Below are 15,596 nucleotides of genomic sequence, written 5' to 3'. Positions count from 1 at the left end.
TTTTATGATGGGGTCTTCTTATGTTGTCCAGGCTGATTTTGAACTGGGCTCAAGGGATCCTCCCGCCTTAGCCTCCCAAAGCGTTGGGATTACAGGCATGAGCCACCATGCCCAGCTTGTTTTGCTTTAGTCTTATGTTTGGTATTCTGGGTCTTTGACCTTTCCATATAGACTTCAGAATCATTTTGTCAACAATTACAAAATAGCTTGCTAGAAATTTGATTTGGATTGTGTTGAATCTATCTATAGATTAGTTTAGGAAGAATTATTCCTTAAACTGCTAGAATGATGCAGAACTAGGATTCAGGTTTATCTTGACTTATTTTTACTTTCCTGGGAGAGAAACCTTTAAGGGCCAAGCTTAAGGTAGGGATGTTGTCCGGGCACAGTGGCTCACACCTGTAATCCCAGCCCTTTTGGAGGCCGAGGCGGGTGGATCACTTGAGGTCAGGAGTTACAGACCAGCCTGGACAACATGGTGAAGCCCCATCTCTACTAAAAATACAAAATTAGCTGGGTGTGGTGGCATGTTCCTGTAATCCCAGCTACCCGGGAGGCCGAGGTGGGAGGATCGTGCCACTGCACTCCAGCCTGGGTGACAGAGCAACACTCTGTCTCAAAAACAAAAAAACAAAAAACAGGTAGGAATGTCTTGGTAGGCCCTAGGCTTTGACTTTTGACTTTCTTTTCTTGTGGGGCCACTAAAAGGTTGCCTTAGTTTTGCAGCTTTTTTCTTTGGAACTGGCAGTTGCCCTCAGGACTAAACCTTGAGTGCTGGAATCTTGCACTTCTAGTTATTTTCAGCAATTTTTTTTTTTTTGAGATGGAGTTTCGCTCTGTCACCCAGGCCGGAGTGCAGTGGCATGATCTCGGCTCACTGCAAGCTCCACCTCCCGGGTTCACGCTATTCTCCTGGCTCAGCCTCCTGAGTAGCTGGGACTACAGGTGCCTGCCACCGCGCCCGGCTAATTTTTTATATTTTTAGTAGAGGTGGGGTTTCACCGTGTTAGCCATGATGGTCTCGATCTCCTGACCTCGTGATCCGCCCACCTCGGCCTCCCAGAGTGTTGGGATTACAGGCGTGAGCCACTGCGCCCGGCCTGTTTTGAGCAATATTATAATTACCTATACTACCTTTACTGGAAGTTAAAGTTTCATCAGAGATCTGCCTTCCTCCTAGAATTGTTGGTTGGTATATTTAGTCTTTGAAATTTCTGTATATGTTATTGGAGGAGCAGAAGGAACTCTCCCAAGTTTGCAGATGTCCATTGAGACTTTCCGGATTGTAATAGATTATGCTGCCTGAGATAAACTTACGGTAAATTTTCCAAAGCTCTACCTGTGGGGAAGAAATGTTGCAATTCTATCCCAGTGTTTACTGTCTCTTTTCTTAATGATAGGATTCTTAATTTTCATCTGAATGTATCACTACACAAAATAAAAAACAGATTTCCCAGTTTTCTTTGCAGCTAGGAGCAGTCATATGGGTAATTTCTATTAAATAGCTCAGACTTCTTCCAGTGTCAGACTTGTACATTGAATTATCTGTTGGCCATCTCCGTCTGGATTTGATTATGATACTTTAGGCTCAACATATCCAACGTAGAATTAATTTCTAGATCTCTCTGCCCCTTTTTCTTCATCATCTCTGAATTTAGTCACTACTGTTAGAACCCTTAATGATTACTCCTCCTGTCTCCACCATCTTCAGACTCACATATTTGTATATATTTAAGCATATTTCAAATCTGGCTAATTTTTCTTCTTTGTAAATGCTCTCCTTCTCCCAGTTCATACCAGTATTGACCCTGGTTCTTGGACTTGCCATCTCTTGTCTGGAGTGCTGCTTCTTTGTTTATAGGCTGTAACTCATTGTCCTTTTCGTATCCACACAATCATGTCTCTGAAAGAAGCTTGCAACCATGTTATTCCCTTGCTTACACAATTAATTTTGATGTCTTTAGCCTCTGGCTCTTTGTAACCTGGTTTCATTTTACCTTTCCAGGCTCATTTGTCGTTCCGGGTCTTAACATTTGATGCTTGATAATGCCAGATTTCTTTTATTTCCCTTCTCATGTATTTGTGGTTCCTCACTACTGTGCCCTTGCTCAAGACTAACTAGGATTAATCTTTTCCTTTAAAATTGATTGGCTTGAGATATTTATGGCTTTAGTCAAATTTACATGTTTCTTTTCTGTTTTTTAGTGATAGGGTCTCTCTTTGTTGCCCAGGTTGGAGTGCAGTTGTGTGATCATAGCTCACTGTAACCTCAAACTCCTGGGCTTAAGTGATGCCCCTGCCTTGGCCTCCTGAGTAGCTAGGACTACAGGCACTTGCCAGCATGCCTGGCTTATTTTATTTTTATTTATTTATTTTTTTGAGATGGAGTTTCACTCCTGTTGCCCAGGTTGGAGTGCAATGGCGCAATCTTGGCTCACTGCAAACTCCGCCTCCTGGGTTCAAGTGATTCTCCTGCCTCAGCCTCCCAAGTAGCTGGGATTACAGGCATGTGCCACCACACCCGGCTAATTTTTTTTTTTTGTATTTAGTAGAGACAGAGTTTAACCATGTTGGTCAGGGTGGTCTTGAACTCCTGACCTCAGGTGATCCACCTGCCTCGGCTTCTCAAAGTGCTGGGATTACGGGCGTGAGCTCCCATGCCTGGCTTTAATTTTACTTTCATTTTTTGTAGAGATGGGGTCTCGCTGTGTTTTCCAGGCTAGTCTCCAACTCTTGGCCTCAAGCAGTCTTCCCAGTTCATCCTCCCAAAACACTGGGATTACAGGCATGGGCCACCACACCCAGCCAGCTTTATGTTTTTCTAAACATGAAAGAAATAAGCTCTGCTGTTGAATATACCACAGTCTGAAATGAGTATGTTCTAAGTTGCAAATTTTGTTTTTATTAAAATATTTTATTTTAGATTTTTTGAAATTGTGTTTTGTTTGGCTAGAGTGAATAAACTGATATTAATATGTGAATTATAAAATTGTTTCAAATCAGTGCTTACCGGGGTATGTCTCCTTATTTCACATGTGAGAAAGTTATGGCCAGGAAAGACTAGTGATTCTTTTAAGTCAGATGATTAGTTAAAAGCAGAGCCAAGATCTACTGTGATTTCCATCCAAATATAAGCATCTGCCTTAAATCAGGTGTGTCAGGGTTTTTAAGTCTTATTTTTCAAGTTCCCAGGCAATATTATAAGGGCATTTACATTTTGTGTGAATAGCACCTTGAGTAATGAATTGAGCTGTATACACTCTGTACCTTCTTAACAACTCTGATTCCATAATGAAATGGTTTATTTATAGAACTGTGGCCTAAGTCTTGCCTATGCACCTATCTTCTTGGCCATCTATTAATTCTAGAAGGGAATTTTTTAAAACTCCATTGATAGATTATTTTAAGTATTCTAATGAAGCAGGCATGGTAGACGTAATGCTTTATAGATGTGTGTGTCTTTGTTTCTAGCATCAAGCATTGCACAGTTCTCTCCAATAACATAGATCATCTCTTACTGAATTTAACACTGTCTGATATCATGGTCTCCCTGGCAAATGCGTCAACTTTGCAGAAGGATTGCAGTTGGATAGAAATGATAAGGAAATTTGTAACAGAGACCCTTGAAGATGGCTCTAGGCTAAATAGTAAGCAACTGAACAGATTGCTGGGAGTATCCTGGAGGTTAATGCAAATACAGCCAAACAGAGGTAGGTGATGCTACTTTGCCCTTATTTAAGAGTGGAGCTCTTACATGTGCTATCTTAAGGTCTAGCTTTGAAATGATGGCTTGTAAACATTCCATGTAGTCAGGCTAATTGTATTCAAGCCATAAAAGGTAGCTACTGTCTACTTGAACACTGAAATTGTTTATGGCTCAGAGTATCTCTAAGTGGGTAGGTCCACTCTGAAGCAGATTGATAAAGATTTCTACCCTCTTCTGATCTAGTTTGGCTAGAACTTGAGAACTTTTTCCCTTGATTGATATGGCATGAATCTTCCCTGTCTCTTTACCTTTTTTCTAGCTTAAGGTTAAGTTATATTAAGTCAGTTTTAGAGTGACTTACTAATTCTTTGATTTTAAAACAAAGTTTTCCTATTTGGTTCCCATCTAAATTGCCTTTCTAATATTCTGGTTTTTGTCATTCCTAGGTTTGTTGTTAAGAAAATTTATACTGTAACTACTGATTGGTTTGACTTTTTTATTAGGCTATTGCTATAGGACTTCAATGGTAGTTGTCTATTTGTGGCTAAAATTGGCTTTGCCATAGGAAGAAAGTAAAGTACTTCGGTGCATTCAGAGGAATTTGGGGGCTGTTAAACATTTTTTGATTCATATGCAAGTTGTTTTCTTTCTGTTTGTAGAGGACACAGAGACTCTTATTAAGGCAGTTTATACATTATATCAGCAGAGGGGCCTTATCCTTCCAGTTCGGACTTTGTTATTGAAGTTTTTCAGTAAAATCTATCAGACAGAAGAACTGAGATCTTGTAGATTCAGGTAAAATCTTGTTATTTTTCCTTTCTTTTTTCTCTTGCTGAGTTTTTCTGTAGTCTAAGTATTTAAATAATTTTAGAGAGATTAAATCTTTGGAGAAGTTCATTCTTTTTAATCCTACTTGTTTGCATTTAAGAAATGGTATAAAATTTTAAAAGATGCATACGTAATAGTGCCAGTAAACTTTATACCCATATCTGAACAGATAAAAGACTGCTTAGGCATGCATTTCTACCTGTCCACTTATAGCTAAGGGACAGTTGGAACAACCTCAGCCCTTTCTCTTCCCCTCCCATAAAAATTACGGAGGTTGAATCTCTAGCCATTAGTGACATATTGAGGCATATGGGATAAGAGTGAGGGCAATAGAAGATGAGAAAGTTTCTGGCTTAGTTTAGTGCTATCAGAGAGAGACAACAAAAGAGTGGACTAAGGAATTTTTCAATAAGGTGAGTTTGAGGTTTATTTGGCATAGTCAGAAATGTTTGAGAGGAAGATACAGATTTGGGATACCTCAACATATATAGGTAGTTGTTGTAACGTATTCTGGTATTTACTTTAAGCCAAGTTACTTTACATAATCTCAATAATCTTCATACTGCTACTGTGAGGTGGATACTGTTAGCTTCCATTTTACAGAAGGAAGCAGAAAATAAATAAATTGGTGAGTATTATGTAGCTAATGTATAGCAGAGCTGAGACTTAAGTTCAGGTCTATCTTGACAGCAAAGTCCATGATAGAATCACCAGCCTTTCAGGGGACCTAGTGAAAATGTTCACTGTTATTCAAGACATTTACACTCCAGCAAGTATTCTAAAGAAATAAAAATAGCACAAGTTTGAAGCTATTTTGTATGGGAGCAACTTATGGTGAATGTGTACATTTGTTAATATAGTATAATAACACCGATTAGGATAAATAGTTAAGTGTCTCTATCCTTCAAAATAAAAATACAATTTAGATACTGCCCCAGTTAACATTAATTTAGTGGGTAAAGCCTTGGAAAATGATGCTGGCATCTTGTAGGTTCTCAAATGTTTAAATGAATAAATGTGGTATTATTGATACATAATTAGTCACTTTGTGATATATTTAAGTTAAAAAAAAATTTTTTTTTTGTTTAAATTTATTTCCCTTGTCTTTGAGTATTACATTTTATTCTTCTTTGGCCTTTCTAAGATATCGTAGTAAAGTGTTATCCCGTTGGCTGGCTGGCTTACCATTGCAACTTGCTCATCTTGGCTCCCGAAATCCTGAGCTCTCTACACAGCTTATCGATATCATTCATACCGCTGCAGCACGAGCAAATAAAGAATTACTAAAAAGTTTACAAGCTACTGCCCTCCGAATTTATGGTAAGAGTTCATTTGTTTAATGGTATGGGTAGTCATTGATCCACCCTGATATACAAAAGAAGTTTTTAAGGGGAGCTCTGTAATTTTGCCTTTCCCTTAGTCTGAATTAGTAATACCATGGTTAAATTGCCAGAACAAAACATCATACAGTAAATTCATTTTCAATATTTATTAGAATATAGAAGGTTAATGATTGTTGATGCTTATTGCATTCTTAAATTGTCTTTCAAACCACTTGCTATTCATAAATTCAAAACTAATCTGATACTTAAAAATTCCTTTGAAGCTCTGATGGCAAGACATATCTTTATTACTTATTTAATCATAGTGAATATCTCGTATGACTTTCATATATTCTTTGTTCATCTAGGACTGACTTAACTAATATTTTAAGCAAAATTATTAAAACATAACTGGGATGTATGTATGCATATAATTATTGAAATATAATTCACATACTATAAAATTCACCATTTTACAATGTACAGTTCAATGAATTTTAAAAAATATATTCCTAAGGTTGTGCAACTATCACCACTGTCTAATTCTAAAACATTTTTATCACCCCAGAAAGAAACTTGTACTGATTGGAAGTTCATCCTTATTCCTTTCTTCCCCCAGCCCCTGGAAATCACTCATCTACTTTCTGTCTATATGGATTTGCCTATCATGGATATTTTGGAATTACATAACATGGGGCCTTTTGTGTCTGGCTTGTTTCACTTAGCATAATATTTTCAAGATTTGTCCGTGTTGTAACAAGTATCAATACTTTATTCCTTTTTATTGTTGAGTAGTATTTTGTTGTATGGATATGTCACTGGTATTTATCCATTTGTCTGGTGATGAACATTTGAGTGGTTTCCACCTTTTGTGGGTTGTAGTTTTAAATATGTATTTTTCAATATTGGTCATATATCTGTAGGTATATATATATACACACAGCAAACAAAGTCTTTTGCTTTAAGTCAGGTTGATGTAATTGTCACTGTTTAGCAAAATTGCTTGTTTACTTTGCATTCAATCTCTTTTCCTTATTACCCCCCTGAAAGTTTTTATTTCTAACAAGACACTTGTATATTAAATCTTTAAATTATGTTTGGTGTTTTATTTTATGCAGTAGCTTAACAAGCCATACATATGTGTTTTATGATATTAATATAATTATGCTTTTATGTAATTGATATTCATAAAATTCAGCATAAAATGTTAGCCCATAATTCAATGGAAGTCATTGATCTGCTTTATTAATCTCTGGTTTGCATGTCTTTTATAGTTGTTTTTAATATGTCTATCCACCTCACTAGATCCACAAGAAGGTGCTGTGGTGGTTCTCCCTGCAGACTCTCAGCAGCGTTTGGTTCAGCTTGTATATTTCCTACCCAGTCTGCCGGCTGATTTGCTTTCTCGGTTAAGTCGTTGCTGTATTATGGGAAGACTCAGTTCAAGTTTGGCTGCCATGCTTATCGGGATACTGCACATGAGGTAGCATGCTCAAGTGAGCTGTATTTTAAGTGTATAATCTTTTTCCCCTTTTACTGGTAATTTGTGAATTACGGAAGCCTTTTGAAGTCGCATACACTACTTTCATTTACTCTTAATGCAACAATTAAAACTATATCACTAGGTAGAGTAAGTTCACAAGAGTAAGACTGTTTCAAGTTACTTGTTTAATGACTTTTATAGATAGCTTGGAATAAGGGTTGAAATAGAATTATCAAAAGTGTGTGTAGTAAGGGATTTATTGGTAGGTGATGGTGTCGTACTTCAAACCTTTGTTGTTATGGAATTGCAGTATAGACCTTTTCTTCAGAGAGCTCAGAATTTAATGTAGCTGGTGAATTAAACAAGCTTGTGGACTGAGACCAGGAATCACTTGTAATCTCTCACTTTTTTTTTCCTGGTGGTATAATAAACATAACATAAAATTTACCATTTTAACCTTTCTTGAAAAGTTTTGCCAGGCGTAGTGGCTCATGCCTGTAATCCCAGCATTTTGGGAGGCCGAGGTGGGCAGATCACGAGGTCAGAAGTTCAAGACCAGCCTGGCCAGCATGGTGAAACCCCATCTCTGCTATAAATACAAAAATTAGCTGGGCATGATGGTGCATGCCTATAGTCCCAGCTACTCAGGAGGCTGAGGCAGGAGAATTGCTTGAACCCGGGAGGTGGAGGTTGCAGTGAGTCAAGATGGCACCACTGCACTCCAATCTGGGCGACAGAGTGAGACTCTGTCTCAAAAAAAAGAAAGTTTTAATATTTCAAGAGACAAGTTCTCACTCTGTTGCCCAGATTAGAGTGCAAGTGGCATGATCATAGCTCACTGCAGCTTTGAACTCTTGGGCTCAGGAGATCCTCCCTCCTTGGACTCCAAAGTAGCTAGCACTACATGCCATTTTCCATAGCGGCTGTGCCATTTTACTCTGAAACTCTGAAAGGTTTTATGTTGCTCATGTTGGAAGTATCCTCATGTATATATCTTCAGTCATAGTATTTTAGTATTCAGCAGTATTACTGGTTGTGGGTAGGGTCTGATGTGGTTTTAGGCAGAAATAGAAATCTAGGCTGTAGTTGAAAACTTTTCTTGTATAGATCCCCTATCTCAGGTAGGTAAGAGTAGCTTACTTTTAATAGACTTTCTTCATACCAGTATAGGACAGATATTTGACTCTGGTCACTGGAAGTGTGCTTCATAACTGACAATAAACTTGCCTTTTACCAAAACAGAGAAAAACATATAAATAAAATATTGTTTGTATTTAAAAATTTTAGGTTTATTTCTTCCTTGTATATGCACATTAGAGGGGCCTGGACATATTTTTTAAGAATTTTAAATATTGATTAGTTTCCCATGTTTTTTCTTTTTAGATATTAAAAAACTGCACTTTGTTTTGTGTAAGCAAAATGCTAGGCCTTTTAAAAGTTAAATTTTTAAAAAAAATTTTCCGTAACTTAAGAGCTTGTTTTTTATTTGACTTCCAGTAGAGGGCACTCTGTTCCTTAGATATAACTTACATTCAGTTCCGTTAAATCACCCCTTGAATGTTTCTTGAAATTGATTCTCCTTGGAAGATGCATTTAATGTCTTCATCAACATCTGTTCACTTATGTTTAATAACTTTTGTCAAGGATTATTTTAAAATCTTGGGGTTTTTTTGCTTTTATCTTTTTGTGGCGATGAGTGGCGAGAATTGGGAAAATATATTAATTTTACAAATACTGATAATACAGACTCATATTTAAATGATTGTCATTGTAGTTAAAAGTCTACCAAATTAAATTTTGCTTTTTAGTATTTGTACAGAGTCCATTAGTAGACTTCTCTCTATGTAGGTATATTATTCCCATCTAAAGTAGTCCCTTTTTAAAAAGAATACAAAATTAGGACTTTTCAGCCTTCTTGAGCCCATAGCACCATCATTTTATCACTTTTCATAGGGTCATAATAAGACTAGCCAGGCGCAGTGGCTCATACCTGTAAATCCCAGCACTATGAGAGGCTGAGGCAGGCAGATCACTTGAGGTCAGGAGTTTGAGACCAGCCTGGCCAACGTGGTGAAACCCCATCTCTATTAAAAATACAAAAATTAGCTGGGCATGGCGGCTCATGCATGTAACCCCAGCTACTCAGGAGGCTGAGGCAGGAGAATTGCTTGAACCCAGGAGGCGGAGGTTGTAGTGAGCTGAGATCATGCCGCTGCACTCTACCCTGGGTGACAGAAGGAGACTCCATCTTTAAAAAAAAAGACTGACGGTTAGTTCATTCAGACATATGTTGGGTTACTTCATATCTTTAGTTTTTTATTCAAAATAGCTCCTCTTCTTGACCATGACTATAAAATAGTCAACTTTTAAATTATTTCCCACTTATACTCTTACAATGTTGCTTCTCAGTCCTATGCATCCTGTATACTGTTGCCAGATTGATTTTTCTGCAATACTCCTTTACTCATTTCTGATTTTTATCTTGTCACACTAATTGGTCTGTGAGATCAAGTTTAGCTCAATTTTTGTAGTTCTGATACCTTGCTGTCTCTATTAAAGCATTTGTCTAATGGCAGGACATGTACCACCTAAGCAAGGATTCCATGTGTTAAAAACCCATCAGCTAGAAATCATTCATGTTTATTTTCTCTCAGCTTTTAAAAAATGTGTTTAGAATTGCTCTCTCTACCTTTTTACCAACCAGTTATAGTTTTTTTACAATCTGATGTTTTCCTCATACCATTCTACTTGTGGTGTTTCATAATAATATCCAGTGGCCTTTTCTCAGTTCTTACCCCTCTACCCCAGTTTATTTATAGCCAGATTGGGGAAACAGAAAGCATAAATACGGAAAGATGCTCCGTGGTGTTAGGTAAAATCTCTGAGGAAGGAGAAATTGGCTTGCACCAAGAAGTTTGGCTTGGGTTTTAAATAGGGTGAACATATGACCTGGTCTGCCAGGAACAGTTCCATTTTACTCCTTTTGGCCCAGCATAATCAGCGCCAGCCACCCCCTTTTACTCACAGAAGTGTTCAGGCTTGGAAAGTATATATGGTTTTCATAGTTTTAAAGACAGTATGATATATTGCTTGTCATTTATCACTTTTCACAGGGTCAGAATTTTAAATAGGCTGTTAAATAAATTTGCTGCCCCTTTTGGCCACTGGATGGCACAATTGCTTCCTGTTTTCATTGAGGTCAAGAAGATAATAGTTTGTTTTTCAACCACTATTTTGTACTTCTTTGTGTTGAGCATCTGTGCTTTTTATAACCCCCTTAGCATGTGCTATTGTCCCCATAGACCTTTGCTTATCACCTGGGAATGACACTCAAGAAGAGTGTTTTCATTATTTTATGCCTGTCCCCTCCTTAAGAATATTAATAAGGCTGGGTGCAGTGGCTCACAACTGTAATCCCAGAACTCTGGGAGACCGAGGCAGGTGGATCACCTGAGGTCAAGGGTTTGAGACCAGCCTGGTCAACATGGTGAAACCCCATCTCTACTAAAAATACAAAAATTAGCTGGGTGTGTTGGTGCACGTCTATAATCCCAGCTACTCAGGAGGCTGAAGCAGGAGAGTCGTTTGAACCCAGGAGGTGGAGGTTGCAGTGAGCTGAGATCATGCCATTGCACTCCAGCCTGGGCAACAAGAGAAACTCCATCCCCCCAAAAAATATATATATAAATAAATATAAATGCAATTATTATAACAGTAAAAAAATTACTAAGTACTTATAGGTGAATTAGAAGTTCCTAATTTTGTTTGATATTTATTCAGTTGTCTGTGATAAAAATTTTTAGTATAAGTTTGTCTGATTATTCTCAGCCTTTTTGCAATACCCATGACTGACATCTGTTTTCTTCCTAGCCTTACCTTGAAGGGAATTTTTAAAGGAGACACTAGAAACTGATCTCATAGGAGGAACCAAATAATCCTCATTTAATGGGAAGCTGCTTTACATTTAGCTATTCCTTTTGAGTCCTCTGCCAATACCTTAGCTGCACTATTGTGAAATAGACCTAGTTACAACTTTACTAAGAATAAGAACACATAGTTGCCTTATAGTGGCTTTAAAGATAAGTTTTCTTTGCCTAATTAAGATACTTTTGCTTAGTTATGTAGGAAGCTGAAGCTTGTTTAAACATAACTCATTTGCTGAGGGTAAGACTATAAAAATCAAATAGTAAATACATAGCAGCTGAACCTACTACTGAAAAGCAAAACTTCATCTTGGCTCCTTAGAGTCTGATTTTCAGATGGGATGGAAATTTTCTGTTGTACTATATATGTTGATCAAGTATGCTTTTTAATGAAAGTTTGTATTAATATGTTTGAATTTCAAACTTTCATACTAGGGTACTTGAGCCCTTGGATATGAAATTAATACAAGGCATACTATGGGTTTTATTTTAAGCTACTAAATCAAACTTGTTTTCAGTAAAGAACAATGGTTATATACTGTGCTACCTTTGACAAGTCTGTCAAGTTGGTCACTTCTGGTAATAGTTCTCCCTTTGTTTTTTATAGATCATCATTTTCTGGGTGGAAGTATTCAGCTAAAGACTGGTTGATGAGTGATGTAGACTATTTCAGCTTCTTATTTTCCACACTTACAGGTAACCACATTCACTTGCCAGATTAAAAAAGAAAAAACCTAATATGAATCACAATTCTCCTTCTAAGATTTGCCATTTTATCAGTTTGGTTCAGTTTTGAAGATGATAAATATTCTATCTTGGAGTGATTTTTGTGATTAGTAACTGGAAATCGAAAGAATATTTCTAACCTACATACACTGTTAGGCTTCTGAGGCAGGAGGATGGATGATTTGTCTTTAAATCTCTTATAGTATGAGTATCAAAACCCTGAGCATTATTTGAATGTCATGTTATTGTATTTTTAAGTTTGATGTACTACTACTATTATTTTAAATGTATTATTTGAATATTTTCATTGTATACTTGGATAATGATAGGATTCTTTGAAATTTTCTGAAGACTTGAAATTAGGAGAGTTAATATAGTGTCAGGATCCAAAAAGAACTTGACAGATCCAATACTATGCTGAATCTAGCAAGATAAATACTTCAGAAGATAAATGTAAGCTCCTATATGTTTACTGTATATTTATGAATGTATACATTTGAGGTGGGAGAGGCTGTGTGTTTTAATAGTAGTTGTCAGAAAGTTTTTAGTGATTTTAGAAAGCTCATTGGGAGTCAGTACTATGACATGGCTATCAAACTAGATGATGCCTCTTTAGGTAGTGCTTACAGAAGTATAGTGATTTGAACATCAAGGTAGATAGGGTTGGGCCACATCAGTGGTATTCTGATCATTTTGAGAACTACCTTTCAGGAGTGACTTTGGCAGCTTGTTTGTGTAGGTTAGGCCAAGTGTAAATAGAGGTGGTAAGGGGAACTAGAAATTGTTGAATGAACTATACATGTATTGTCAAAGTAAAAACACCTAGGGGGATGGAGTAGTTTTGAAACATTTGAAGGTCTATTATCTAAGAACCTAAAGCATTTGATATATATGTAGGAGTATATTACTGCTTTTACTTGCTCATTTGCTTTTTTAAACCTACCATTAATTGGAAAGATTATGCCTTTCACTCTAAGTAAAATTGTCAAAACCCTAGTAGAAGTGGTAAAACCTGTTTCTTGCTATATTATAGATTGGGTCTGATCACATCTTTTATATAATTATATGAATTTAACTGTCTTCATTGCTAGCATTTTATTTTTTAAAATATAGCATGAAATGCAGAAGCTCAGAGAAAACAAGGTAGCTTAAAGAATGTTCACTTGAAGGCATATGTCATCTCTGTTTTTTAAGAAAGTCATTGTTTTTTGTTTTTTGTTTTTTTAAATTGGCTTTCTTTGTTACCTGAATTAGGGTTTTCGAAAGAGGAGTTGACTTGGCTTCAGAGCCTTCGAGGAGTTCCTCATGTCATCCAGACACAGCTTTCCCCTGTGCTTCTCTACCTTACAGATTTGGATCAATTTTTACACCACTGGGATGTAACAGAGGTAATAGTTCATTTAAAAAGAAACTAATAATTATTAAAATTCAGTTCATCAACCAGTAATAGTTACTATATATGAGTTGCCTTGTGTGAGATCTTTTCAAAGATACTTGTTTAAAGTGCTTATAATCTTGGATGGGAGAAGTACGTTTGAAAAGGGAAACATTCTTTATAAATTGTGCCACTAGAACAGAACAAATCAGCAATTTGAATGATAGATCCATCTTTTTAAAAGAGGAAAGCATTATGAAAGAGTAAGAATTTGAGGTTTTGAAGGATAAGACTTAAGTAAGAGTTGGTATCCTTGAAGGTGACTTTTTAAACGGTAGATTATTCACCAGTTCCTTTGGTTTTAAGAATTACTATGTAACTTATTGAAATTAAATTTAAAACCCAAATTCTTTAAGTTTTGAAGTTTGTTTTACAAGTCTTATTTTTTATTTTATTTTATTTTATTTTTTTGAGACAGAGTTTTGCTCTTGTTGCCCAGGTTAGAGTGCAATGGTGCAATCTCTGCTTGCTGCAACCTCCACCTCCCAGGTTTAAGTGATTCTCCTGCCTCAGCCTCCCAAGTAGCTGGGATTACAGGCAGGCGCCACTGCACCTGGCTAATTTTTTGTATTTTTAGTAGAGACGGGGTTTTACTATGTTGGCCAGGCTGGTCTCGAACTCCTGACCTTAGGTGATCCACCAGCCTCAGCCTCCCAAAGTGCTGGGATTACAGGCGTGAGCCACCACACCCAGCCTACAAGTCTTATTTTTTCAGTAAATGTAAACATTTAAAAGAGGACTTTGATTTAATTTTATTCCTTTTACAAACCTAATTTTTTTATTTTCTTAAATAACCATAATAGTATTTGTCCAATACTTCAGTTTTCTGACAAACCTTCACAAATAATTGAAGTAAATCTTAGAGATATTTAATAAATTAAAGATATAAATATGGGAAATCTTATGTTTTAGTACTACTTAATGAAACTTGAAATTAAAACCACAAGTCTGAATTAATTAACTACTGACTTTAAAAAGTTTTTTGTTACTGTTTTGGGGTTTGGTTTGGTGTTTTTTGTTTTTTTGAGATGGAGTCTCGCTTTTGTCGCCCAGGCTGGAGTGCATTGGTGCTGTCTCGGCTCACTGCAACCTCCGTCTCCCGGGTTTAAGCGATTCTCCTGCCTTAGCCTCCTGAGTAGCTGGGATTACAGGCGCCCGCCACTACTCCTGGCTAATTTTTTTGTATTTTTAGTAGAGATGGTTTTGCCATGTTGGTCAGGCTGGTCTTGAATTCCTAACCTCAGGTGATCCTCCCATCTTGGCTTCCCAAAGTGCTGAGATTACAGGTGTGAGCCACTGCTCCCAGCCTGGTGTCTTCTTTTTAAGAGATCTTGCTATTTTGCCCAGGCTGGCCTTGAATTCCTGGGCTCAAGTGATCCTCCTGCCTCAGCCTTCTGAGTAGCTGGGGCTGTAGGCATATGGCATCATGCCCAGCTGCTGACATGTTTTAAATTGGAATTATAAGGCTGATCTTTTGCCCTAATAGGCAAAATTGTCTTAAATGTTACAAATACTTATACTAAATACACAAACAGTATCACAAACATTAATACTAAAGATTTGTTTCATTTCTAAGTTTTTAAGTTTATTTTTATTCTTTTGTGTGTGCATGTAAATTTAGGGGTACAAATGCAGTTTTGTTACATGCGTAAGACTATACAATGGTGAATCAGGTATCTGAGAGTATCACCCAACAATGTACACTGTACCCATTAAGTAATCTCCTATCATTCACCCCACTCCCACCCATTCACCTTTTTGAGTCTCTATTGTATGTCATTTCACACTCTATGTCCATGAGTAGACATTATTTTTAGCTCCCACTTACAAGCAAGAATATGCGCCATTTGTCTGTGTCTGACTTGTTTCACTTAAGATAATGGCCTTCCGTTATATCCATATTGCTGCAGAAGGCATGATTTTATTCTTTTCTATGGCTAAATAGTATTTCATTGTGTGTAAATATCACATTTTCTTTATCCACGCATACGTTGGTGAACATTTAGGTCAATTCCATATATTTGCTATTGTGAATTGTGAATAGTCCTGCAATAAACATAGGTATCTTTTTGATGTAATTATTTCTTTTCCTTTGGGTACATACTTGGTAGTGGGAGTGCTGGATTGAGTGGTAGTTCTATTTTCAGTTATTTGAGAAATCTTTATACTGATT

At 36.8% G+C, this 15,596-nt stretch overlaps 1 protein-coding gene across 5 annotated transcripts in view; it reads left to right on the top strand.

The window, feature by feature from the left end:
• TEX10 (testis expressed 10) overlaps positions 1–15,596 on the top strand; it is a 50,859-nt gene that overhangs the window by 19,302 nt on the left and 15,961 nt on the right. For 3 of the 5 annotated variants that reach the window (NM_017746.4, NM_001161584.2, XM_047423523.1), the window contains exons 6-11: positions 3,472–3,710; positions 4,366–4,501; positions 5,679–5,854; positions 7,162–7,339; positions 11,870–11,958; positions 13,243–13,376. In NM_017746.4, coding sequence (NP_060216.2) covers positions 3,472–3,710; positions 4,366–4,501; positions 5,679–5,854; positions 7,162–7,339; positions 11,870–11,958; positions 13,243–13,376 — 952 coding nt within the window. Of the gene's footprint in view, positions 1–3,471; positions 3,711–4,365; positions 4,502–5,678; positions 5,855–7,161; positions 7,353–11,869; positions 11,959–13,242; positions 13,377–15,596 lie in introns of those variants that run through there. The other 2 variants (XM_047423524.1, XM_011518798.3) reach the window with 2 other exon arrangements.

This window comes from Homo sapiens, chromosome 9, assembly GCF_000001405.40.
Source record: "Homo sapiens chromosome 9, GRCh38.p14 Primary Assembly".
Classification (NCBI taxonomy): Eukaryota; Metazoa; Chordata; class Mammalia; order Primates; family Hominidae; genus Homo; species Homo sapiens.
The sequence above is the reverse complement of the archived record's forward strand: the minus strand, read 5'-3'. Positions and strand labels throughout refer to the sequence as shown.